The sequence below is a fragment of the Homo sapiens genome, chromosome 12, assembly GCF_000001405.40.
Source record: "Homo sapiens chromosome 12, GRCh38.p14 Primary Assembly".
In the NCBI taxonomy this organism is placed as follows: Eukaryota; Metazoa; Chordata; class Mammalia; order Primates; family Hominidae; genus Homo; species Homo sapiens.
The window spans coordinates 119222718-119250700 of record NC_000012.12 but is presented as its reverse complement, the minus strand read 5'-3'; the positions used below and the strand labels follow the sequence as shown (position 1 = coordinate 119250700).

The 27983-nt window shown below is 42.9% G+C and overlaps 1 long non-coding RNA gene across 2 annotated transcripts, besides 1 other annotated feature; it reads left to right on the top strand.

The window, feature by feature from the left end:
• The first annotated feature begins 236 nt into the window (after positions 1–236).
• On the top strand, positions 237–26652 carry LOC105370025 (uncharacterized). Of its 2 annotated transcripts, XR_945437.2 has the most exons (4): positions 237–351; positions 13685–13788; positions 24093–24314; positions 24861–26652. It is a non-coding gene; the product is annotated as an uncharacterized LOC105370025 (long non-coding RNA). The 2 variants fall into 2 exon arrangements; XR_945436.2 differs by having other exon boundaries at positions 24093–26652.
• Positions 24890–25391: an enhancer, noted in NCBI's record as "NANOG hESC enhancer chr12:119663115-119663616 (GRCh37/hg19 assembly coordinates)". NCBI's record gives its function as "activates a minimal SCP1, AML or CMV promoter by ChIP-STARR-seq in naive H9 embryonic stem cells {active_cell/tissue: H9 hESC(naive)}" and the evidence as "EXISTENCE:reporter gene assay evidence [ECO:0000049][PMID:30033119]".

Sequence of the window (27983 nt, the reverse complement as noted above, 5' to 3'; positions counted from 1 at the left end):
ACAGAGCTCATTTTTTCTTCTTTAAGACAGGATCTTGCTCTGTTGCCCAGGCTGGAGTGCAGTGGCGCGATCTTGGCTAACAGAGCCTAGATCTCCTGGGCTCATGTAGTCTTCCCTCCTTGGCCTCCCAAGTAGCTGGGACTACAGGCATGCACCACTATGCCTGGCTAATTAAAAAAATTTTTTTTTTGTAGTGACGGGGTCTTCCTACATTTCTCAGGCTGGTCTTGAACTCCTGGGCTCCAGCGTTCCTTAGTCCTCAGCCTCCGAAAGTGCTAGGATTACAGGCATGAGCCACTGCACCCAGCCTCACAGAGCTCCTAAATTATAAGAGTGGGGATTTGAACCCAGGTATGTATGATTTCATTCTGCTACACTGACCTCAGAATCAATTAGGTTTGGGTCAAAACTTCAGCCTTTTCTAACTAGCTGTGTGACCTTGAGCAAGTCACTTACACTTTCTGAGCCGTAGTCATCTCATCTTTGAAACAAGAATAAGAAGAAAATTCTCATAGAGTTGTTGAGAGATTGAAAAAGAATTATAAAAAGTGCCTGGCATTGTGTGGGCAACTCCAAAATATGAGATCCCTTCTAACTCTTAATAAAAGTTTATTGAAAGAGTAAAAAATTTCTCTCCCTCTCAGCCTGCAGCGGGTTAACTTAGAACCTCAGGGTGTCAGCATTTCTCTCATCTTGGCACTAATTATGTACAGAAATCATTTTGCCTCTGACACATATAATGAAAACGATTGTACAGAAATGGAATTTATCATGCTATGTGTTACGAGAGGCTTTTTTAAAAGACTACCTCAATTTCCCCCACTTTTCTTTTATTCCCCCCTCTTCTTGCCAGATAATCAAATACAAAAGTTATATTAACCTCCAAACCACTTCAATTAAAATGCTCATCCAAAATTTGAAAACAATTAAAAAACCCATTATCTCAGATTTAACGTTCTCTGATTTTGTGTCTATTTTCTGCCGCAGCATAAATGGCAGGTAACATTATCACAGTAGGTGCCTTCTAGAAAGCAATGTCTCATTCTCTGCCCGTCGGTCCCGCGGCTGCTCTCTCGGCACCGGCCTTATTAAAAATCCACACACCCTGGTGTACTTTTGTCATGTCCAAATGCACTGAAATAATTGATTGTTTTAATGAGCTCTCCATCTGTCTCATTTTCTTCTGTCTTTCTCTACTCAGTAACTGGTTTTAGTGAGAGAAAAGAACAGACTCCACTCTTGGGAGGTCACAGTTTGAAAGAGGGGAGGATCTCTGGCTTGGATCTGCTGCCCAGGGGTTCTGCATTCCCTGGTGAAATTAGAAATGATTTCCCCAGGCTGGGCATGGTGGCTCATGCCTGTAATACCAGCATTTTGGGAAGCCAAGGCAGATGGATCATTTGAGGTCAGGAGTTCGAGACCAGCCTGGCCAACATGGTGAAAACCCATCTCTACTGAAAATACAAAAATTAGCCGTGAGTGGTGGCACGCCCCTGTAGTACCAGCTACTCAGGAGGCTGAGGCAGGAGAATCGCTTGAACCCAGGAGGCGGAGGTTGCAGTGAGCTGAGATCATGCCACTGCACTCCAGCCTGGGCAACAGAGTGAGACTCCATCTCAAAAAAAAAAAAAAAGAAAGAAAAAAGAAATGATTTTCCCAAAGAAGAGCATGCAGGGAAAAGTGTTAGGTGCTGTGGTGGCTGCAAGGAGCACAGGTCCCTCAACTTAGCCCAAGAGAAAGAAAACTCTCTAGTCACTCCTTGAGATAGAAGGAGGACACCTAGCCACTTCAGTTTGGGTCAACAAACGGGTATTGAGTGCCTACTGTATACCAGACATATAGCAGACAGTAGAAATGTGGTCTCCAACGTCTGGCAGAATCAGTAAAAAAACTCCTTGGGTCAGATGCATTCATATGCTACTGGTAGGAATATAAATTTTTTACAGCTTTCCTGGAGCGTAATTGAACAATATGTATAAGAGATTTAAGAGATGTGCATGCCCATTGACCCAACAATTGGCCTTCTAATAATTTATGATAAGGGGATAATCACTTATGTGTGCAAAGATTTAGCTGCAGCTGTGTTCATTGCAACATTATTTACAAAAGCAAAGAAAAAATCTTTGAAAAACCTAATTGTTCAATGACAAGGAATTATATAAATTCGTGATGACATATCGTTAGGATGGCATACTAGAAAATCATTTAAAAGAATATTAGAAGAGAATATTTATTGACATGGGGAACAGTTAATTACACATTTTTTTTTTTTTTGAGGTGGAGTCTCGCCCTGTTGCCCAGGCTGGAGTGCAGTGGCATGATCTCGGCTCACTGCAACTTCCGTCTCCTGGGTTCAAGCGATTCTCCTGCCTCAGTCTTAGCGAGTAGCTAGGATTACAGGTGCCTGCCACCATGCCCAGCTAATTTTTGTATTTTCAGTGGAGGCGAGGTTTCACCATGTTGGTCAGGCTGGTCTTGAACTCCCAACTTCAAGTGATCCTACCACCTTGGCCTCCTAAAGTGGTGGGAAATGATACATTGTTAAGTTACAGTAAACAAATAAAATGTCTAATAAATAGTATGATCTAAATTTTCTGGAAAAAAAAATGTCTGCAATTGTGTGGAAAAAAGACGGGAAGGAAATGCACTATTCTGGGAAGATGAGAATTTGTGTTACATTTAGATTCTTCTCTGGGGTTCTTCTGATTTTTTTTTCCCAGTGATAATGTGTTACTTGTTATTTTCAAAACAGAAAAAGCTGTTTTGAAAAGAGATAGCTGTGAACAGGAGCCAGAAATGAAATGGAAACTGTTGGGAATTAAGCAGGCTTGGGGACTAGCTGGGCTCTAGCCTGGCTTATTTCCTCTGTGGGTTCATTCTACTCTCTCTACTTACTGGGTGTGTTAGGCCATTCTTGTGTTGCTATAAAGGAATGCCTGAATCTGAGTAACTTATAAAGAAAAGAGGTTTAATTGGCTCACAGTTCTGCAGGCTGTACATACAGGAAGCATGGTTGGCATCTGCTCAGCTTTTGGATGACCTCAGGAAGCTTACAATCATGGCAGAAGGTGAAGGGGGAGCTGATGTATCACGTGGTGAGAGCAGGAGCAAGAGAACAAGGGGAGGTGCCACACACTTTTAAACAACCGGATCTCACAAGAACTCACTCACTATTGCAAAGAAGGCACCAAGCGGATGGTGTTAAAAGTCCACCCCCATGATCCACTCACCCCGCACCAGGCCACACCTCCAACATTGGGGATTACCTTTCAATCTGAGATTTGGGGGCACAAACATCCAAACCCTTTCATTGCTTACCCATGGTTCTGCTGCCTCTAAACCTCTGCCTGCTTCTGGTCTATCAGAGCCTCTCCAGCCAGAAGTCAACCTCATGACTTTGCTACTTCAGTGCCAAAGTATGACTATTTTGGTCTCCGGGTATATTTAGTTCTCTGGATATACTATACATAGTCCAAATTTCCAGAAGAGAGAGACTCCTCTCTTCTTTACCAGGCCAAGGCCTATGTCATTGACTGGATCAGACCTGATCTGGTGGCTCATATCTAATCAGGTGTGGTCCAATCAGCAGTGGGCCAGAGTCAAGGGTTACTGGGCTCATATCTTAACCAGGGCATGGAGGTGGGGCATTTCCCTTTAGGATGCTGTGTGGTTGGACGGTCCCAGTGATAGACATCTTCAGCACAACAGTCCAATCAAATAATTTAAATAATGCAGGGCCCAAATATCTGCATGGAAACCAGATCCCAAGTCTTTGTTCTCAGCTTTGATCAACTAAATTAAGCCACTGTTGATTCTTACTGATTTTGGCGCTGACATCACAGCTCACACAATTTTGGGGGACAGGGTATTAGGCCTATCCAACTGAAATAGATAATGAATCTAAGCTTTATTAGGGTTATAGATGCAGACAAGGCAAAATCAAAGTTAGATCATTGTCAAAAGGGTTGGATCTGTATAGCATAGCATGTTACTGATAATAACAGCTATCATTTTTCATACAATAGTATATAATTTACTACCTGCCAGGCACTGAGCTTCACAGGTATCATTCTAGTGACTCCTCAAACAATCTCGTTGTCAGTAAGGTACGGTTATAATTAATTCCCATCTCATAGATAACGAAACTGAAGATCAGGGAATTTAAGTAACTTTTTCCCAGGTCACACATGACTAGGAGGTCACTGGGTTAGAATTCAAACCCAAGCCTTTTGTAATTCCAGATTCTGTGGGCTTTACCACCTCTCAATACCACCCAAATACTTTCTGTCCAAACCCCTTATTTTGGAATAATTAAAAAGAATTACCATCACTTCTGGCCATTCTCTGGCATTTTATCTAGAGCAGGATAAGACTCTGGCTCAGTCTTTCCCAGGCCAGACAGGTCATGTGACTATAATAATTGGAATGTTTTTGCTAGCAACAATGGGAATCCCAACACAAACTGGGAATGTGTTAGTTCAACAATTGAACAAACTTCTGCTTCTCATGAGAAGGGAGTAGCAGGAATGAGATTTTTTTTCCTCCTGCTTAAAACAACCAAAAAATAGATACAATGTATGATGCAATGGTTTTTAAACTTTGGATCTTAGGAAACAGAGGACAGTTAACCTTGAAAGACAGGAAACAAAGTGAGCCCTGGGTTTGCTCCAGCATACTGCTTTGAGAGACTTTCCACGCTGCAGCCTAGGAGGATTCGAGGAGACTCCCTAAATTAAGGAGACAGAAGTGAAAGTTTGGGGAGGCCAAGGTGTCTGGAGGAACCAGATTGGAATAGTGGAGAGAAGAGAGTTGCATAGAGGGAGAAAGCCAAAGATTGGCCAGAGAGTATCCTTGGATTTTCAAGACAGGAGGGATCAGCCTGCACATTTGAGGAAATGACCCAAGTTTGGGGAAAGAATTATCAGAAAGGATTAGAAATAACAGTGTTGGCATTTACACAGGACCAAGAACAGTGTCTGTTCCCATTTGCCAGACTGGAAAACCTCATGGATCTCAGGGCATTGAATAGACTACAGACGGGTCTTACTCATTGGTGGGGAATAATTAACTAAACACTAAACAAATCTTAAAGGGGATTCCCACAGTTAACAATATACTTAATGGCTAAAACTGGATACTATCTCCTAAGATCAGAATAAGACAAGGATATACTACCACGTCTTCTATTTAACAATATGCTGGAGGTCCTCACTGGTGAAATAAGGCAAGACAAAGAAACAAAAGGCATCCAGATTGGAAAGTAAAACTATCTTTATTTGAAGACAGCATGATTATTTATGTAGAAAATCCTATGTAATCTACATAAAACTACCATATCTAATTAATGAGTTTAGCAAATTTGCAGGACACAAGATCAATATACAAAAATCAATTTTATTTCTATACACTAGCAACAAACAATTGGAAATTGAAATTTAAAATACCCTTTACAACAAATTCAATACTTAGGGATAAATCTGACCAAAAAAGGTGAAAGAACTATACATTGAAAGCTACAAAACATTTAAAGAAAAAATTAAAAAAGACTTAAATAAATGAAGAAATATATCATGTTAATAGGTGAGAAGCCTCAATTTTGATAAGATGTCTGTTCTCCCCAAATTGATCTATGCAATCCCAATCAAAATCCCAGTTGGCTTTATTTTTGGTAGAAATTGTCAAACTGATTCTAAAATTCATATGAAATGCAAAATATCTACAATGGCCACAACAACTTTGATAAAGAAGAATCAAGTTCAAGACTCTTACAGTTTAGTAACCAAATAGTATTGCATTGGCAAAAAAAAAAAAAAAAAAAAAAAGACCAACATATTCATCACCGATGGGACAGAATAGAGAGTCCAGAAATACACAAATGCATATATAAAAAATTGAGTCTTGACAAAGGTGTAAAGATAATTCAGTGGTAAAAGGAAGTCCTCTCATCAAATGGTGCTGGAAGAATTAGATATCTAGATGCCAAAAACACCACCCCAAAAAACAAAACAGCACTTGGATCCATAACTTGTATGAAATGCAAATTTAACTCAAAATGGATCATAGATCTAAATGCAAAACTTAAAACTATAAAATTCCTAGAATAGTAATTCTTAATGGGGGCAATTTGACACCCCCTACCCCACAACCCAGGAAATACGTGGCAATGTCTAGAGATATTTGTGGTTGTCATAAGTGGAGGGGGCATGCTATAGGTGTCTAGTGGGTAGAGGCCAGAGGCACTCTCAAACATTTTATAATGTGTATAAAGACCCCCACAGCAAAGAATTATCTAAAATAATGTGTCAAGAGTACCAAGGTTGAGAAACTCTATTCTAGAAAAAAATATAGAAGAAAACTTTTGTGATCTTGGTATAGGCAAACATTTCTTAGATCTGACACCAAAAGTACAATCTATAAAAGAACAAATTGACAAATTCAACTTTATTAAAATTAAAACTTTTTGCTCTTCAAACACATTGTGAAGAACATGAAAAGACAAGCCAAGGGCTGGAAGACAATATTTGCAAATCATACATCTGACAAAGGATCTGCATCTAGAATATGTAAAGAGCTCTCAAAACTCAATAAGAAGTAAATAAATAACCCAGTTAAAAACTGGGCAAAATATTTGAACAGATAATTCATCAGAGAAGCTATAAAGATGACAAATAAGCACATCAAAATGTGCTCGCTCTCCTTAGTCATTCGGAAAATGCAAACTAAAACAACAATGAGATACCACTACACACCTATTTTAGAATGGCTAAAATTAAAAGGACTTACCATATTGAGTGTTGGCAAGGATGTGGAAGAACTGAAACTCTTTTTTCTTTTTTTGAGACAGCCTCACTCTGTTGCCCATGCTGGAGTGCAATGGCATGATCACAGCTCACTGGAGCCTCAACGTCCCAGGCTCAAGCCATCCTCCCACTTCAGCCTCCTGAGTAGCTGGAACTAGAGGCATGCACCACTGCACCAGGCTAATTTCTTTTTTTTTAATTTTTAGTAAAGATGAAGTTTCACCATGTTTCCCAGGCCACTCTTGAATTTCTGGGCTCATGTAATCTGCCTGCCTTGGCCTCCCAAAGTGCTGGGATTACAGGCAGGAGCCACTGCGCCCGGCTGGGAGAAATGACACTCTTACATCCTGCTGGTAGAAATGTAATATTGTAGAACTATTTTGGAAACCAGTTTGACATTTCTTTAAAAAAGTAAACTAGGCCGGGTGCAGTGGTTCATGCCTGTAATCCCAGCACTTTGGGAGGCCAAGGCGGGCAGATCGCCTGAGGTCAGGAGTTTGAGACCAGCCTGGCCAACATGGTGAAACACTGCCTCTACTAAAAATACATAAATTAGCCGGGTATGGTGGCACGCACCTGTAATCCCAGCTACTTGGGAGGCTGAGGCAGGAGAATAGCTTGAACCTCAGAGGCAGAGGTTTCAGTGAGCCGAGATTGCGCCATTGCACTCCAGCCTGGGCAACAGAGCAAGATTCTGTCTCAAAAAAAAAAAAATGTAAACTATATCTGCCATCAGATTCATCTTGTCCGCTCCTAGGTATATACCAAGGAGAAATAAAAGCATGTGTTCCTGTAAAGACTTACACACAATGCTTATAGCAGCCTTGTTTGTAATAGCCCCAAACTGGAAACAATCCAAATATCCATCAACAGGTGAATGGATAAACAAACTGATATATCCATCTGATGGAATACTACTTAACAATAGAAATGAATGAACTGTTGATACACATAACATGGATGCATCTCAAAATAATTATGCTGAATGAGAGAAGTCAGACAAAAAAGGTATATACTGTATGATTCCATTGATATGAAATTCTAGAAATGAAAACATCCACAGTGACAGAAATCAGATTGCCCAAGGCAGGGGTTGAGAGAGAAGGAGTAAAAGAGGCAGGAGGAAACTCAGAAGGTGATGGATATGTTCTTTATCTTGATTGTAGAGATGGTTTTACTGGTGTATACATATGTCAAAACATCAAGTTGCAGACTTTAAGTCTGTGCTGTTTGTTGCATATTATACCTCAATAAAGCTCTTAAATTTTTTTTAAATGAAAAGTTGGAATACACAGATTTTTCAAAGTTAAAGTGTCACGAGAGTAATCCTGGCTTCAAGCATGTCTGAGGAAAAAGAGTTCAAATGATATGTTGATGTGCAACTTCTCTTTCTCCAATTGTGGAGCTCTCCTCCTGTGATCAATGGTGCTGCCTCGACTCCTGAATTTCTTTTTCTTTTCTTTTCTTTTCTTTCTTTCTTTCTTTTTTTTTTTTTTTTTTTTTGAGACGGAGTCTCCCTCTGGAGTGCAGTGGCAGATCTCGACTCACTGCAACCTCCGCTTCCCGGGTTCAAGCGATTCTCTTGCCTCAGCCTCTGGAGTAGCTGGGACTACAGGTGCCCGCCACCATGCCCGGCTAATTTTTAAATTTTTAGTACAGGGGTGTTCACCATATTAGCCAGGCTGGTTTCAAACTCCTGACCTCAAGTGATCCGCCTGCCTCGGCCTCCCAAAGTGCTGGGATTACAGGCGTGAGCTGCCCTCCCCGCCGACTCCTGAATTTCATCCTTCCAAGTTCAAATCCAGAGAAAAGATAGGAGCATCTTTTCCCCAATGCATCTCTTAAAACTCTGAATTCCCTCTGATTGGATCAGCTTAGGTTATGTGTCTGTGAATGCACCAATGGCTGCACCTAGGGCACTGTGATGCTCTGATTGGCTCAGGCCTGGGTATGAGGACTGAGAGCAGGAAAGGAGCAGATTCCTAAACAAAAATCAAGAAGGGTACTGGATACTGTCCCAACTGTGAACATGCACTTCTCAGATCTCTGCTGCAGGGAGCATGATGGATCTAGGGCTTCAGCTGCTGTGCTCTGAAATCCATCATTGCATTTATGCAACGGCCACACGTCCCCCCGGGGCTGCTTCCAGCCGGTGGCTGAGTGCAACAGGAATACTAAGGCAGTCCCATTCTGGAGAGACACGACTCCCCTGACAGGTGACTTTGGCTCAAGGACTCCCTACTGGCCTTGCTGAACAACCTTGCATTGCAGTCCAAGATGCCTCTACCCACTCTTCCTTCTCGCTGTCTACCCCTCACTTGGGATTAGAACTGCATTGGGTGGTGAATGTCCCAGCTCCCCTCTCCCCCTGGCTCCCTTCCCATTTTCCCTCACAGGCATTTTCCCCTAATAAACTTCTTGCATGTGTAACCTCATTTGGGCATCTGCCTCTTGGAAGACCCAAATTAACACAAATACTGGAAAGGCAACTAGCAAATCGCTAACTCTCATCAAAAGTTTTAGGGTTTTCCAAATAAGTTCTTACCCCATATCTTATTTGACTCGTGGTTTTGGTTAGAGGAACTTCGGGGGATGAAAGCCTTGAAGTTGATATAATAATATTGACTTATTGGTTAATAACCCTACCTTTTGTTTGCCAAGCACGCAATGACTTACAAAGCACTTTGAGGTACATAACTTCAGCTGGTCTTCACAAAAACTCAGTGAAGCAGGTGGAGATATTTTTCAATGTTAGTCATAAAGAGACTGAGATTCAGAGAGGTTAAAATAAATTCTTTAAAATCCCCAGATTCGTGTCACTGCTGTGCCTAAAATTTTTTCAGTGGCTTTCCATTTCCTTCAAGATAAAGACCAAACCATTAACGTAACAGGAAAGAGACCCATGGTTTGGCCCTGGAAATACTGAGCTACGTTCAACATTCTGATAAGGCCACGCGCTATTTGGCCTCAAAGACTTTGCATATGCTTTTCCCACTTCCTGAAACACCCTTTCCATACTCTCTTTTGGACATCAACCACTCCTTCTGCTCTCCTCCTATAAGAAGCTATTCTTTAAGATTGAGTCACGTGCTTCTTTGGGCCCCAAGCCCCCATTCTTACCCATTTCATAGCACATTGCAAGCTGTATTGCAATTTATGCCGTAACTGCTTGTCCTCACAACAACCCGTGAAGTAAGAAAGATTCTCATCAGTTTCCAGATGAGGAAACAGAATTAGGAAAGTGGAGTGTATTAGTCAGAATGCTCCACAGAAACATAACTAATTGAGAGAAAAGATTTATTAATTTATTACAAAGAAGTGGCTCCCATGATTATGGAGGTGAAGAAGTCCCAAGATCTTGGCAAGCTGGAGACCCAAGAGAGCGGAAGCATAGTTCCAGTCTGAGTCCAAATGTCTGAGAACCAGGAGGGCTGATGGAGTAAGCTCCAGTCTGGAAGCCAGCATGCTTGAGATGCAAGAAGAGCCTATGTTTCAGTTGAAGTTCAAAGCCAGAAAAGATGGATAGCCCAGCTCAAGCAGTCATGGAGGAGACGTTCCCTCTTACTCAGCTTTTTTGTTCTATTCAGGTCCTCAATTTTTGGATTGGGTTGGATTGGATTGGTCCAATTGATTGGATGAGACTTACCCATATTAGAGAGTGTACTCTACTCAATCTACCGATGAAAATGTTAACCTCAGGCAGGGTGCAGTGGCTCACGCCTGTAATCCTAGCACTTTGGGAGGCCAAGGTGGGCAGATTGCCTGATTTCAGGAGTTTGAGACTAGCCTGGGCAACATGGTGAAACCCTGTCTCTACTAAAATACAAAAATTAGCCGGGCATGGTGGCACATGCCTGTAATCCCAGCTACTCGGGAGGCTGAGGCATGGGACTTGCTTGAACCCAGGAGGCAGAGGTTGCAGTGAGCCGAGATCACGACACTACACTCCAGCCTGAGTGACCGAGCAAGAGTCCATCTCAAAAAATAAAATAAAAATAAATAAATAAGTAAAATGTTAATCTTATCCAGAAATAATCTTCACAGGTCCATTAAGAATAATATTAGGCCAAATGTCTGGGTACCCCATGGACCAGTCAAGTTGACACACAAAATTACCCATCACATGGATTAACTACTCAAGATTGCATGACAGCATTTGCAGGTAGGCTAGAGAATAAACTCTGTCTCTGAAGCCCATTTTACACAGCCATGTCACCATCTTTATGGACAGGGCAGCTATGGGGGTGGTGGCACCTGCATATGCATCAGGAGTTTCTGTACTTCTTGAGGACATTTGATGTGTCAGGCTCTATGTTTGGCATTTTATTTGCATCCCTATGACTCTATATTGTCATAATCTCCAGGCATATGAACATTTGTTGAGTGCAGAAATCCCCATTTGCTAGAGAGGATAACCCCCTTATTATGGATTATTACGAATTTATTATTATGGATTTGAATCCAGAACTGTCTGACTCCACAGCCAGGACTCCTTACATAGCATTGCCCTTCTCAAAAAGGACAGTTTTGTTGTCCCAACCTCTTTATCACTCTCCAGAAACATGCCTTCCTGGAGCTTGACTCTAGTCCTCTAGGGGGCTGTGGGCTGGGCAGGACCTGGGAGCAGGCTGAGAAATCTAGAATCTCAGCTCCCCAAGGAGCACTCCTGGCAAGGAGGCATCGTCCCCTTGCCAGAGCAGACTTGCCCAGCTTAGCAAGCTCTCCAGGACGCTGCTGAGCAGACCCTGGGTTCAGGAGCCCAGCCAAGCACCTTGTAGGTCTGCTGGCCTCTGATCTAGCTGCTTCTACTGCAGTGTCTCCAGATGTACAGGGGTTTGCTGGGCCTGCGGTTCTAAGTAGTAGCTTCGTTGAGGGGATTTGTGTTTCTTCTCTTCCTTTCTCTTTTAAATCTTAGCAGCATCTGCTCCTCCATCCGTGGCAGGTTCCCAGTGTCTCAGACAGACGTCAATATTGACAGAAGAGGCCCCTGGGCCCAGCAGGGTATGCTGTTTCAGAAGAGTAGCTGAACAAGTTCATTAGGGGGACTTCTCGGCACCCTTTGGCAGCCCCAATTACTTGGTTCTGAGCAACATGAATATTGATCAGTGGGATGAGGGGGCTCATCTGGGTTAGGATGTTTTTCTTTTTCAGAGGAAGTATAGAGGAGGGTTTTAAGGTCACAGGTTCTGGAGTCAGAAAGGTCTGGCTTCCCATTCTGCCTCTGCCCTTGGCTACCTATGTGACCTTGGGAAAGGGTAATCACCATGCTGAACCTCAGTTTCCTTATCTGTAAAATGGACATCATGATACTATGTACTACAAAAGCTTGCTGTTGAGAATCACACAACTTAATGCATTTAGCACAGGGTCAGGCACACAGCAAGTGCTCAGTAAATGCACCAGTCCCTATTGTCTCGTCAGGAAATGGCCACATCCAGAGGAACTGGTCTCTTTCCTAAGACTGAGGAAGCCTTTCCCAAAAAGCTCCCGGCAGAGTTGGGTGACGTGTTCACTCCTAAGCCAATCAATGGCTAGGGGACTAGAACTGTTACTGTCCTGTGTCCGTGTTTCATTAGCCAGAATTAGGTCATGTGACCAGCTCCTGGTTAGCATTAAATCAAAGATTATCAAGCATGAGAAGAAGCAGGAAAACATGACTCCTAAGGAGGAGTAAAATCAACCCATTGAAACCAGCCTAGAACAGACACAGATGTTAGAAGTAACTGACAAGGACATTAAAACAGTTATTCTAACCGTATTCCATAGGTTTAAAAAAATGTTCTGTAGAACTATAGAAAACATAAAAAATACCCAATTGAACTTCTAGAGATGAAGACTACAATGTGTGAGATGAAAACTACACAGAAGTGTATTAACAGCAGATTAGATATTCCAAAGAAAAAATGAGTAAATTCAAAGACTTAGTAATAGAAACTATCCAAAGTGTAACACACAAAGAAAACATATTTTTTAAATGAACAGAGCATCAATGAGATGTGGGACAAATTCAAGCAGTCTATTAATAATGTATGTGTAATTGAAGTCACCAAGGGAGAGGAGACAGACGTGGGATCAAAAAAATATTTAGCTGGGTACAGGGGTTCATGCCTGTAATCTCAGCACTTTGGGAGGCCAAGGCAGGAGGATGGCTTGAGACCAGGGGTTTGAGACCAGCAGTTTGAGACCAGCCTGGGTGACATAGCAAGACGAGACCTCATCTCTACAAAAACATTTTTTTTTTTAAATTAGACAGGTGTGGTGGCACACGCCTGTAGTGTCAGCTACTCAGGATGCTGAGGTGGGAGGATCACTTGAGCCCAGGAGGTTGAGACTGCAGTGAGCTATGACTGCACTACTGTACTCCAGCCTGGTGACAGAGCAAGACCCAAGATCCTGTTAAAAAAAAAAAAAATTAAAGAAAGAATGGCTAGAATGGCTGAAAATTCCCATATTAGATAAAAATCTTTGGCATCAGGTAGAGCCTGGTTTAAGCCCTGGCTATGCCATTTACCACCTCTGTGAACTTGGGGACATTACTCACCTGCTCTGGTCTTTATTGGTAAATCAGGGAAAACAACACTAACATCATAGGATTACTGTGAGGAGATGCTACTTATAAAGCACTTGGCACAGTGTCTGGTGCATGGTGAGCCCCGATACAGGTCTACTGTTATTTTTATTAGAGTCTTTTCCAGCTTTGGCCTTCTGTGGTTTGCAGAGATTCTAATGTTCACCCTTTGGTTTGTTAAATAATCACTAACCTTTGTCGAGTGCTTATAGTACCCCGGATTCTGTGCTAATTCTTTATTTGTATTAACTTATTAAGTCCTTAAACCAACCCTTTGAAGAATGTATAACATTTTATACCTCTCCTTATTTTATAGATGAGAAAACTGAGGCACATAGGGTTAAGTAGATTGTCCAAGGTCACTGCTGATAACTGCAGCACTGGGATTTGAAGCACTGAACTCTGCTGACTCCTGAGAAGGTATCTGATTATATCTAGTTCAGTCTCATTGTTTTATAGCTCATGAAACTGAGGCCAAGAGAGACTGAGGGTTTTGCGGAGAGATTACACAGCAGGTCAGTGGCAGAGCCAGGGCTAGAACCTGATGCCGAGCTCTTTTCATTCTCCTACAGCATACCTCTAACAGCTGAGATTTCCAAGGCTTTTTGGCCAATGTGTTTGTCAACATCTGCAACAAATTTCCAGAACTCAGGCCAGAGCCCTGGGCAAAGCCTCCTTTTTTGTCTCCTCTTTTTATCTCCCAGTGCAGGTGAGCAGCTTGCTTCAGTCCTGTTCTCTCCAGCCAGCTCCTAAGAACTCTGATGGAATTATTCATGCAAACATCTTACTCCCAGGGCCATTGGAATTCAAAGGAGCTGCTGGCAACAGACAATGCTTAACCCAAAGGGGTGAATTTCTAGTGGCAGGATTTGCTACATTTGTACTGGAAATGTTTCCTGGTGGCAGTGGAATCTCACTGGCACCCCTAAAGCACACTAACCATTTTTTCCTCTTGCATTATTCATTCGTTTATTTGATCAACTTGCTGAACCGGGGACCTTGCTTGATGATAGCAATACAAAAGTAAAAATGGGTAAGGCATTGTCCCTGCCCTTGGGGAAGACATAGAAGTGAATGGATGACTACAGTTGCTGTGATAAGTGTTATGACACAGGCATGGAATAGAATGCATATCTCACTACCTGGGCCCATCAGGGCAGGCTTCCTGGAGGAGGTGACATGAGTTGAGTTTTGAAAGACTAATACCATGTCACCTCTTTCCACTAGAAGGTGAGCTCCATGAGAGTAGAGGGTTTGTGTGTTTCATTTACCGCTGGATTCCCAGTTGTCAGAACAATGCCAAGCATTGTAGGTGCTCAATAAATATTTACTGAATGAATGCATAGAAAAAAAAGATCCAGGAAGGGGTTCCAGGCAGAAGGAACAGCATATGCAAAGGCACAGAGGAGCAAAAGGACACGGCACATTTGAGAACTGTGGCTTTAGCATAGGGTACATCGTGGGTGATAAATGAGCCAAGGCTGAGGATAAGAACATGAAAGTCCTTCCTTGAGCCATAGGCTTAGTTTGGACATGGCTCCAATAGCAATGGGAAATTATACACAGGTTTCAAGCAGAGTCATGGCATGAGTAGCTTTGTGCTTTAAGAAGATTATCCTGTCTGTTACGTGGACGAGAAAATAGGGGTGAACGAGAGACGAGGGGCTGTGTGCCTACAGCATCAGTTCAACTAGTTTGTACAAGGACCCCTAGCAAGAAAGCCAGGCTTGACTGAGGGGGCACAGGGTGGGGTGGCTATGGAGGCTTGAGGGAAATCTGTCCCCTGATTCATCTTCCCTGGCCTCCTGCTGGCAGGCATGTGGTCATGCAGAAAGCCCATTACCATCTCACCAGGAGAAGCTTTCCCTTGTTAAAATTCTGGGCCGTGGTGTCTTGTATTAAAGCTGATATTAAGCCATAAAATGTAATATGTTATGACACCATAAAATGCAACGTAATTGCTATAAAACCATAAAATGTAATGTAACAGGCGCAACGTCCATTATGCAGCATCACAGTCTAAAACAGTTAGCTTCCACTCTGCGTTTAGACAAACAAACAATTCCTATTCATTGCTACCTCTGGAGAAAGGTATAGGAAAATCATCCTGGATGAGCATGAATTGTAACACAAACAGCCAGGGAGGACGCAGTGTGGTGTGGAGGAACCGCCCTCGGCTTTGTAGTTAGATAGAACCCATGCTCCAATTCTGATGCAATGATGTCTAGATCGGGTTCCCAAACAACAGAGCCAAAGACAAGGATTCAGACTAGATTGCTCCTGAAATCCCATTAGTCTAACTCCTCCTTCTGCCTGAACATATTTCTCTCACCTTCTCCTGGAAGGTAAGAACTGGTGGGCTCTTATGCCTCCACATCAGTGAGACATTAGCCCAGGGTGTCTCCTGAGAAGGGATGTGAACTTGTGGGTGACTGTGAGCAAGGCGTGCAGGTGTGACCTGTTAGCAGCCTCCATTTGCAGTGGCTAGGTGACAGGTGCACTTGCTAAGGGGGTGAGGGTGAGAAAGGGGTGGCACCAAGAGCATCTGCAACAAATGACTTAAAGCTGTGTCACTGTAGCCAAAGGACTTTCCCCTCTAAGCCTGAATGTTCTCATTATAAATGCAGCTAACGCTACCTATGTTTATATAAATTAAATGAGATCAAAATCTACAGAAAACACTTGAATATACAGATATTCTCTTATAAATGTATTCACACACAGCATTGCACACATACTCAATGTATTAAAAAATGACAGAATATATATATATATATATATATATATATATATATATATATATATGCTATAGGAAACACCAGTGCATATGTTTACAGAATTAAACTTGCATATAGAAATGAAGATGCATATAAATGTGCATATAGAAATGATGTTGGGCATATGATAAAGCTGTACTAACCAAATAATATAACTGGAGGCAGAGAAAGAGGCCGGGACTCCCCTGGCTTGTCATGCTAACAGCATGGCTGAGTGGTGGGCTCAGTCATATTGAATTTTCTCCATCCAGAAGCCAAGCTACAGTAAAGGCAGCATGTGGTGAGTCGCAAGCACTTGTGAGCAGTGCCAGAGACAATGTGCAGGTGTGTAGTGAGGGACCAATGTCATCTGCTACAGGGAGAAGATAGGGACACTGAGTGAGCGAGAGAGAGAGCTGAGCAAGAGAGCACCAAGATGGTGATGGGGAACTGAAGAGTCTAGAATAAAGGTCTCACGCCTTTTAGAGAGCTGGGGAACAAGCTAAACAAAGGAGAGTAGCCACTCCCATCTCCCTACCCTGGGGAGACTGTACACGTGGAAATGCATGGCTTAAACTTAAGGAAAAAGACCATTGCATATTTTAATTTGGATTCAGAACATGTGCGCAACTAACTCAAGGGAAGACATTTCGATCAAATACTGTATATCCCTCTTTTTGGACTCTTAATAGTATAATATGATGATGCCGGTTTTGTCACTTAGGATTATATTCTGCTGCAAGTTACAGAGACACAGAAATATGGGCTAGCACAAGTAGTTTATTCTTTTCCACGACAAAGAAGCCAGAGGTAGAACAGTTCAAACTCAAAGTTCTAGAGGGGACAGAAAGGAATGTAAATGAAGGGACTGGGTGGGGTGGGAAGCAGAGGGCACAAGTCCCATGAAAAGGGTACATCAGTTCTCCATCTTTACACAGTTGATGCCATGGAGAAAGTCAGCTCCATGTTGCTTGAGCTATTGATTTTTTTTGAGACAGAGTCTTGCTCTGTCACTGAGGCTGGCGTCCAGTGGTGCAATCATGACTCACTGCAACCTCCACCTGCCGGTCTCAAGCTATTCTCCCACCTCACCCCCTGAGTAGCTCATACTACAGGCGTGTGCCACCCCACCCAGTTAATTTTTGTATCTTTTGTAGAGACAGGGTCTCACCATATTGCCCAAGTTTCTCTCAAACTCCTGGACTCAAGTGATCCACCCACCTCAGCCTCCCAAAGTGCTGGAACTACGGGTGTGAGCCACCGCACCTGGCCCAATTTTGTAAAGAAAAGTTTAAAACCTGGATTTTGTATGTGAAATTTGACTTCTAAATGTTACAACTAATTCAAAAATTTAAAAGCCCTCTGGACCAAGGGTAACCTATAAGTAGGACATATTTGATCCAGGGCTGCCAATATGAGATCCACTGCCAGTTCTTGTGACAGCTGATCTCATAAGAACTATAGAAATGCCTAGGTGTGCACACATGCGCATAGATCACTAGGCGAGTACATCAATGTTGTGGTTGAGTGTAGGGCATTCTTATGGGGCTATTTCCAAGTGGTGGGTGCATTCTCAATTCTGGGAATTCAACAGTGAACAATCATGTTAATTTGCGAGTTGAGTTGAAATCCTGTCCTCTGGGAGGTTTTAGGCTGTTTATCAGGTCAAAGAAGCAGAACCAGTATGAGTGATATAAGGGGTTTATGATAGGGCTGGGCCTTACGTGACTGTGCCGGTTGGTGGTGCTGCTTATGTAAGCATTGGATGCTGAACCTACATTCAGCAGGGCTGTGCCTTGGTAAGTGATTACGGACATGAAATGGGAGAGAGCAAGAACAACATGGAACCCATGAGGATGAGCTGGAACACACCAAGGAAAACTGGAAGCTGCCTTTGTCCCTCCCTGGGAACTGTCAGTCTCTCAGTGCCTCCAGACTTCTAATCTGAGTGATGCCGTGAGCTTTGGAAGGACCATGGAGCTGCACCCAAATCTGGCACAGACGTTAGAAAAAGTAAAAGAGGAGATCGGCAGGAGGTGGAGGAGCCCCAGCCCTGCCTGCTGTCTGCAATCTCCCAACAAGATGAGCCATCAAATCCATGACAATGAGTGTGAGATGCAGCAGAGCCTCAGCTCACATTGACCCCTGGAGCATAAACACAACTGCTGCTTCACACCCACTTTCCAAGGCTCACCCAAGTTGGTTGGCCCACTTTAACACAGAACACTGCAGGAAAGGGAATTTGGGGAAATGCTTTCAATTTAACTAAGATGACACAATGCAAGGCCACTGTGGCCAGGGAAGACACAGTGAACTAGGGAGTGGCAGTACAGTTGGTGGGAGTTCCAAACGGGGAAGGGAGGCACTGGTGGGTGCTTACCCAGCAGGAACAGTTACCATCTAGGGGCTCAGGCCAGAAGAAGTGATGGCCATGCTGAGTGGTGAAGGGGGGCTTCGTCAGGTGAGGTGAGTGTGGAAGGAGGAAAGAAAATAGTGTGTGGAAGTGACAGGGCAGGGAGGGGAGAGGAAGAAGGGGGAGGAAGAGGAAGAAGAAGGAGTACAAGGAGGAAGATGAGGAGGATGGAGAGGAGGGAAAGGGATAGAGAGGAGGAAGAAGAAGAAAGAAGGAGGAAGAAGGAGGAGGAGAATGAGAAGAAGAAGGAAGATGACAAGGAGAAGGAGGGGGAGGAGGGAGGAGGAAGGAGGGAGAGGCAGGTGAGATAAAGGAACGGAGCTAACGGAGTCGAAGAAAAATGCAAAGACAGTGTCAGAGGGAGGGACAGAGTGATTGGAGAGAAGTAAGGAATTTAAGAAGAGCCTATGTTTAGAAGACAGAATGGTGTGAGATGGGCTAGAGAAATAAGCAGGGAACAATGAAATATGAACACATGCCCACAGAGAACGAGATCAACGCCCTGACATTAACATATATAGACAATCCAGACTTGTATGCACTTAACAATTCATCGAGTCAACACACAATATGCATACACATCTATCCATACAGGGACACAAGAAACCACATATAATTAATTCCTCACTGATTCTCCCTGACTCCCTCCACACCCCAGGGAGGCAGCAGAAGGGGCTAATTCTGATCAGATCACCTGAGCAGGGCCTTGGAGGACATTCTCCAAGATCCCATGAAGCTTTGTCCCCATGCACTTCCTTGGTGGTGTGAACACTCAGCCGGCCACAGCTATCCCATGAGTAAGTAGCCCTATTAGATGTCTCATCTTGTTCAGGGGAGAAATATGACCACTTCTGTCATGAGGGCAAAGCCTGACTGTGCCACACCTGGGCTTGGCTTCTTAGGTCCTCCAGAGGAGACCTTGTTTCTGATGCATTTTACAAGCCGCTTCATAGTGTTACTAATGAATAGGACAGACCATAAAAGCAGGGAGGAAATGAGCCAGCATAACGTTCCCACTGTGAATTTTGGTGAGAAACCCAAAGAATCAACCAGTGGAAAGGACACAGAGCCGCGGTCTTGGGAAGTGTTGTTGAAGGCTGGGGTTTGAAGGCAGAAAAGAACAGAATGGACAACTAGGGACCTTCCAGCATGACTCAGCTGTCTGTGTGTCTGCGTGTGCCTGAGTGTGTGTCTATAAGAAGGAACCATGTGGATGCATATATAGGGGTGCCTGTCATATAAATATCTGGGTCTGAGTAAATGGGAGAAAGCATCATCTAAAACCCCAGGAGCAAACGCTAAGATTTGGTCAGGTTAGAGGAAAATATGTTTCCCCTCCTTCTCCACTTCTACTTCTTGAGAGTATTTTTAGGGGAGGAGGAAGTGCTGAAAAGCTTACTGTAAAGCAAATGAGAGGAAAACTGTTGATAACAAAGTTTCTGCTATTAGGTGGCACAAATGTAATTGAGGTTTTTGCCATTACTTTCAATAATTATTCGTGTCAAGATGTTCACCTGGGTTAGGTGCACCACCAAATCTTTTGAGTAATGCAAAGGAAGTTCCTGGAGTTTGTCTGTGATAGAGATTCACAAAATATTCATTTGCTTAATAAAATGAAAGAAAATTTTGCGGATGTCCCCAGGCCCTGGGAAGTTGGAGAAATACATGTATCAGAGAAGTAAAAGACTGTCTGAAAAATTCCCTGCAGGGTTTGGTTAAGGAGCTTTAAGGATAGAGGCGATGAGTATTACATTGTAGGTTGTTTCCTATTCTACACTGTGCTGTAATTCACTTCTGATGTTGCTAAACCTTCCGTAAAATTCTGTGTATTAGTTGAGGTAAAGGTTAAGCTGCTGTAACAAAGAATGCCAAAATACAGTGGATTACAGAAGACAGATATTTATTTCTCATTCATGAGATGGTCCTGAGGTGAACAGCCTAGGAGTATATTAGACTTTGCTCCACACCTTCACACAGGGACGCAGCTTCCTTCAGTTGTTCTCATCGGCATGATTCAGCTGCATCCAGGCACATTCCTGTGCCTTTGTATAAACGAGCAGGGGGCAAAAGAACACGACCCACCATTTTTTTCAAGCAAGTGAGGCAGTGTTGCACACGTCTCTTTTGTTTATATTTCATTGGTTAGAACTTAGTCACATGATTCGACCTTGCCCCAGGGGAGGCTGGGAAATGTAGTCCCCTGTTGAGCAGCAACGGTTCACTTACGGCTATGGAAGAGAGAATGGAATTTGTTGGAAAACTGGTGGTTTTTATTGTGGTCTTGGACCTAGTCTCTCACGTGGATTATTGTAATAATCTGTCAATTGTACCCTTGCTCTAATCCAGCAATGCCCAAACTTTTGGCTTCCCTGAGCCACATTGGAAGAAGAGGAATTGTCTTGGGCCACACATTATAAAATATACTAACGCTAGCTGATGAGCAAAAAAAAAAAAAAAAGAAAGAAAAAGAAATCCAAAGAAAATCTCATAATGTTTTAAGGAAGTTTATGAATTTGTGTTGGGCTGCATTCAAAGCTGTCCTGGGCTGCATGTAGCCCACGGGCTGCGGGTTGGACAAACTTGCAGTCTAATCAGTGTATTTTGAAAACAATACTGCTGCTAAAATGTGATTCTCTCCTCAGAACTCCCCAGTGGCCTCTGGTGTTCTCTTGGAGTAAAAGCCAATGTCTTTGGAACTGCTTATCAAGCCCCACATGACCCCACCCACCACCCAGTTCTAATCTCATCCCCTCCCACTCACCTCCTTGCTCATTCCCTCCAGCCACACTGTCTTGTTTGCCTTCTTCAAACATGTCAGGCAACTACCTACCTCAGGGCTTTTGCACTGTTGAACCTTCTTCCTGAAGCACTCTTTCTCAGTTAGCCATTATTTCCTCACCTCCTTCAAGTCTTTATTCAAATGCCACCTTCTCATCCAGGCCTTCTCTGACCCCAACCATTTAAAAAGGCAACTCCAACCCCTGATACTCTCTGACTTCCTTCCCCTGGTTTTTCTCCATAGTACATATTACCAACATATATACATATACATAGGTATACATGTTTATATATGTATACATGTTTATACATGTATATAATTTTGATGTAATAATTAGTAGTCAATAAAATACATCAGATATTCAACCCTTTATTATAATATAGACTTTGTGTTAGATGATTTTGCCCCACTATAGGCTAAGTAAATGTTCTGAGCACGTTAAATTTAGGCTAGGCTAAGCTAGGATGTTCAGTAAGTTAGGTGTATTTATGCGGGGTTTTTTTTGTTTTTGTTTTTGTTTGTTTTGAGATGGAGTCTCCCTTTTGTTGCCCAGGCTGCAGTGCAGTGGCGCGATCTCAACTCACTGCAACCTCCGCCTCCCGGGGTCAAGCGATTCTCCTGCCTCAGCCCCCCAAGTAGCTGGGATTACAGGCACCCGTCACCACGCCTGGCTAATTTTTGTATTTTTAGTAGAGATGGGGTTTCACCATGTTGGCCAGGCTGGTCTCGAATTCCTGACCTCAGGTGATCTGCCAGCCTTGGCCTCCCAAAGTGCTGGGATTACAGGTGTGAGCCACCGTGCCCAACCTATTTATGCGTTTTTGACTTACAATATTTTCAACTTATGATGGATTTATTGTAAATCAAGGAGCATCTGTGTATATGTATGTGTGCCTGGGTGTGTGTGTGTGTGTGTGTGTGTATATGACTTATTGTCCTTCTCCTCCATTAGAGGGTAAGCTTCATGAGAGCAGGGGTTTCTGTTGGATCCGTGTGCATGCACATGCGTACACGTGTATGGGACATATATGTGTATGTACACAAACTGTTAATCTCCTAATGGCAGTAGTCTGTCATATATAATTATATATCAAGCAAAGATTATAATGAAGCACACAGGAGAAAGTTATGGAATTTTATCTCTGAAGTTTGTTTTTTTAGCATGGTAATGTATTACATTTAATTAATAAAACATCAAATGTATGACTCAAGAACATAAATACTACGGAGATAGAGGTAAATCAGCCATCCAGCAGTTGGTAGTAAAAGGCAAAGGAGAGTATGGAGTTATTATGCCCTGGATAAGTGCTACAATAGAGATAACTAGAAGAGAAGATGGCAACACTGATATATCCGGTAGATAATTGGAAACTGGAGGTGAGAGTCAGTGGCTAGAGATAAATATGTGGGAGTCATTGGGTTATAGGTGATATTTTGAGGAAATAAGAATGAGTAAACTCTGTGATGAATACCCAGTAAATACTGAATCTTGTGTTAGCTGACTGCACATGCCTGGTATTTCAGACACTAGATTATCTGTGATTATAAAAAGAAGTTTCTCCCCCAGCAAACCCATATATGCAAATATTGTAGATGTGTATTTTATTTTTAATTTATGCTTTCTTAGTTTTTTGTGCATTAATAAGTATTAAGAGATAAGAGATAGTGCTAATGACAAACTCTGTCCTTGGCCCAAAAAGGGATGCAGAATGAATAAACAGACCCAAATCTCTGGGGCTCACTTTTTGGTAGAGGAAGACAGGCAATAAAATACATGAAAAAATAGTAAATAAGATCATTTCAGAAGGTGATACATGCTATGTGGACATTATCTTGGCATGAGTCATTGATGAATGATGTTGGGGGAGGGGGACTTCTTTAGATGGAGTTTTCAGGAACAGCCTCTCGGAAGAGGTTGCATTTGAGTGGAGACTTGAGTACACGAAGGAGCCAGCTGTGCAAAGTGCTGGGAACATAGTATTTCAGGTGGAGGAAATAGCAGGTGCAAAGTCCCCGAGGCATCAATGGGATTGGGGTATTCAAGGAACTGAAAGAAAAGCAGGAAGTCTCAAACACAGAGAGCAGCAGTGACTGTAGTAGAGATGAGGGTGAGAAGAAGGCAGGCACCAGGTCATTGAGAGCTTCCCTGTTCCCTTCAGTAGCCATTAATCATGTGTGGCCATCGAGCACTTAAAATGCATCGAGTCCCAGCTGGGCATGGTGGCTCACGCCTGTAATCCCAGCACTTTGGGAGGCCGAGGTGGGCAGATCACCTGAGGTCAGGAGTTGGAGAGCAGCCTGACAAACATGGAGAAACCCCATTTCTACTAAAAATACAAAATTAGCCGGGTGTGGTGGCGCGCACCTGTAATCCCAGCTACTCGGGAGGCTGAGGCAGGAGAATTGCTTGAATCCGGGAGGCAGAGGTTGCAGTGAGCTGAGATCACACCACTGCACTCTAGCTTGGGTGACAGAATGAGACACTGTCTCAAAAAAAAAAAAAATGCATGGAGTCCCAATTGAGACGTGCTGTAATTGTAAATATGCACCAGATTGCAGAGACCTAGAATGAAAAATAAAGAATGTAAAATATTCATATTTTATATTGAACACACTTTAAAATGATAATATGTTTGATTTTGGGGTTAAACAAAATATATATTTATATATATAATTATTATTTATATATTAAATAAAACATTATTGAAGTTAATTTCATCTGATTTTTTTTTTTTACTTTCTAAATGTGCTACCTACCTATGTGTATTGCTATTAGGCAGCCTTGACCTGGAGCCCTACAATCCTCATGAGCAGTCTGAATTTTATTCCAAGTGCAGTAGGAAGCCATCAGATGATTTTAAATGGAGAAGTAAGACACTTGGATCTGTGCCTAAAAGAATCACTCTGCTGTTGAGTTCCTGAGAAGCAGACTCTGAGATAGAGATCATTTTGTGGGAAGCTTATTGGGAGGTGCTCTTGGGATCCACACCTGTAGAAGGTAAGTGAAAGAAGCAGCATTGAGCAGAAGGAAGTCAGGCTGTGATGCATTGCAAGGAAGGGCTCAGCCAATGCCACGGGGAGCTTGGAGCCTGGGATGGCCCTTCAGAGTTACCCCAAATTGAGCAAGGAGGCTGGGCCTTTCTGCTTCTGCAATGACCAGTCTCTATACAACCTGTCTTGGAAAGAGAATGTGACCTTGGAAAGGGCAGCTTGGGAAATGAGTTATTCATGCTTGAAGGAAGATTTGGTCAATGCATCCATCATCCACTACTGGTGTCATTCTACGAATTAAGGAAGGAGGGGCTCAGAGTGGAAGCAGAGGGACAAGTTAGAAAGATCTAGCAAGGGATGACCCTCAAGGTGGGGGGACCTTAGTGGGCAAAGGTGCAGAGGTGGGATTACACAAGTAATCGTGAGAGAATATGGAGAGCCAGGCGTCACTGGAGGGAGATGAGTGCAAATGAGGGATTAGGGGTTTTGCTGTTAGTTGGAGACAAGGTGCCCTACTCAGGGAATGGAAGCCTCTTTGCTCCCCACACTTCAGGACTGGCTCTTTAAGATCCAAAGGAGAAGCCAACCAAATGAAAGCATTCTTGGCAACCAGGTATTCCTGACCAGTCCCCGGCTCTCTGACAAGCTGTGTCACAATATTGATCCAGTGATTAAATTTCATGCTGAACTGACTCAAGTCCTAAATAATGTCCCTGTTAGAGAGCTACTGTCTGAGAGGCTGACTCCACATGCCTGGTGGTTCATTAGTGCCTCAAGAGGCAGACGAGAGCCAAGGAAGTGAAAGGAGGTCGTGGTTTCTGCACTTTGTGTCCTGCAAGAGGGGCTCTTGTTTGGGTAACAAAAAAGGCACTGGATTGAGGCTTCAAAAACTGAGCTTCCAGACATGAGTAGCAAGTCACTTTGTGACTATGCGCAAGGTATTTCCTTTCTGAGCCTTTGCCACCCCAAACACAAGCCAGTTTGGCAGGGAGGAGGGGTGGACTCGATGGTCCTTGAAGATTCACAACAGCTGCTCTTTATGGAGGGCTTCTGATGTGCTAAGCACTCTACATGAATTATCTCCTTTAATTCCTACCAGAATCCTTTGAGGTGAGCATTATTATGCCCATTTTATAATTGAGGAAACTAAGCCTCAGAGAGGTTAAGTAACTTGCTCCAGGTAACACAGCTACTAAACGTTGGAAGCATTTAAATGCCAGCAGTGGAGCCTACAGTATTTCAGATTTCTTATATTTATTAACCGTACAACTTGGGGGAAGATTATTTATCCATAGTCATATACAGTTAGATCTGCAACTCCAGCAGAGTCAGTCTGACTCCCAGCCTCTCTCCTAACCTCTGGCTGTCTTGATCTTGGGCTGGAATCGAGTGTGAGGCTCTGTAGAATTGACTTTGGCATTATCTCAAGGGAACCAGAGTTTGGGGCAGGCATAGGGGAATGAGACTTGATCCTGACAAGACTGCAACAGCTTTATTGACAAATCTCATCCTGACAAAAAGCCAGATCTCATCCTGCCTCAGGGGCCTTTCAGCCTCCACTCCTTGCATTCTCTGCAGCAGAGACAGCCAGTCCTGGGGCTCAAACATGCAGCCAAGGCAAACGCCATCTCCTCCTTCCCAGCACAGCGAGGTATGGTGGGCAGCAGAGGGGCATCCCTGAGCACCTTCTCACCTGCTGTGGGAAATAAAACAAACATAAGAAGCCAAGTGGTTGCATATGAACCTGGCTGGGGTTCCAGTGTTGGTCAGGGTGCAGGAAGAAGGGCACTGGTGCTTTATGTGGGTGGTGGAAATCCATACCTCTGTGCAGGAAAATTTGTGTATTTTTACTGAGTCTCTTAAAAATGTGCATGCCTTGTTGAGGATGCTCTCACTTAATTAAATAGGAATATATTTGCCTGGAAACAAGACTAGAAGTTTCACCACTAAATAGTGATTGTTTCTGTGCAGTGGTTTTTAAAAGATATATATTTTTTAATTCCTATTTATATGATGTATATATTTGTATTTAATGAATAGACCATTTTTGAGCAGTTTTAGGTTTATGAAAAACTTGAGCAGCAAATGCAGAGCTCCCACTCCCCATCCCAAACCCCCCCACGCAGTTTCCCCACGCATTAACGTGGTACATTTATTACAATGGATGAATCAACATTGGGACATTATTATCAACTAAAGCCTGTAGTTTACATTTGGATTCACTCTCAGAGTTATACATTCTATGGGTTTGGACAAATGTATAAGGATGTGTATCCCCCATTATAGCATCATACAAAGTAGTTTCATTGCCCTAAAAATCCTAGTCATGAATTATTTGCCTACACCAGTGTCCAGAAGAGTTTTTCTGATGTTATCTTCCAGAGCTTTTATAGTTTCAGGTCTTAGATTTAAGTCTTTGATACACCATGGAATACTACTTAGCCATATAGAGGAAAAAGAATGTCTTTTGTAGCAACTTAGATGGAGCTGGAGACCATTATCCTAAGTGAAGTAACACAGGAATAGAAAATCAAACACCACATGTTCTCACTTATAAGTGGGAGCTAAGCTATGAGGATGCAAAGCCATACAGAATGATATAATGGACCTTGGGGACTCAGGGCAGGGAGAGGAGGGTGAGGGATAAAAGACCACCTATTGGGTACAGTGCACACCGTTTGGGTGTTGGGTGGACTAAAATCTCAGAAATTGCCACTGAAGAACTCGCCATGTAACCAAAAACCACCTGTACCCTCAAAAACTATTGAAATAAAATAAAACAAGAAAAAACATCCTCTGCTCTCTACTTATTCAGCCCTTTCTCCCTGCAACCCCGATCATCTTATTGTCCCCAAAGTTTTGTCTTTTCCAGAATGTCATGTATTATAATTAGAATCATGTAACCTTTTCAGATTGACTCCTTTCTCTTAGCAATATAGATTTAAGGTTCCTGCATGTCTTTTTATGGCTCAATAACTCATTTCTTTTTAGCCCTGAATAATATTCCATTGTCTGGATGTACCACAACTTACTTACCCGTTCACCTGTTAAAGGACATCTTAATTGCTTCTAACTTTTGGCAGTTATATACTGTCTCTCACTAAGTTTTCCTCCAGAATTAAAACAGATGGCTGTTCCTTGGGTTTGTGTTTAGGGATCGTGTTGAGTTATATCTATTGTGTGCTCTCTCTCTCTCTCTGTGTCTCTCATCTGTCTATCTAAATATTTATATGTAGGCTGGGCATGGCGGCTCACACCTGTAATACCAGCACTTTGGGAGACCGAGGTGGGAGGATAGCCTAAGCCTAGGAGTTCAAGACCAGCCTGGGAAACATAACGAGACCTTCTCTCAACTTAAAAAAGTAAAAATTAGCTTGGCGTGGTGGCACGTGCCTGGAGTCCCAGTTACTCGGGAGGCTGAGGCAGGAGGATTGCTTGAGCCCAGGAGTTTGAGGCTGCAGTAAGCCGTGATTGTACCACTGCATCTCAGTCTGGGTGACAGAGTGAGACCTTGTCTCTAAAAAAAATGAAAATAAATAAATAGTTATATGTAACTGTATCTTTAAATTCTAGAACCACTCTCTATGTGGCCGAGATGCCCTCTCTTTGCAAGTGGGAAATGGCATCAGCTGAGAGTTGGACAGACGTATTTGTCCTATCTCATGCCTGTCATGGG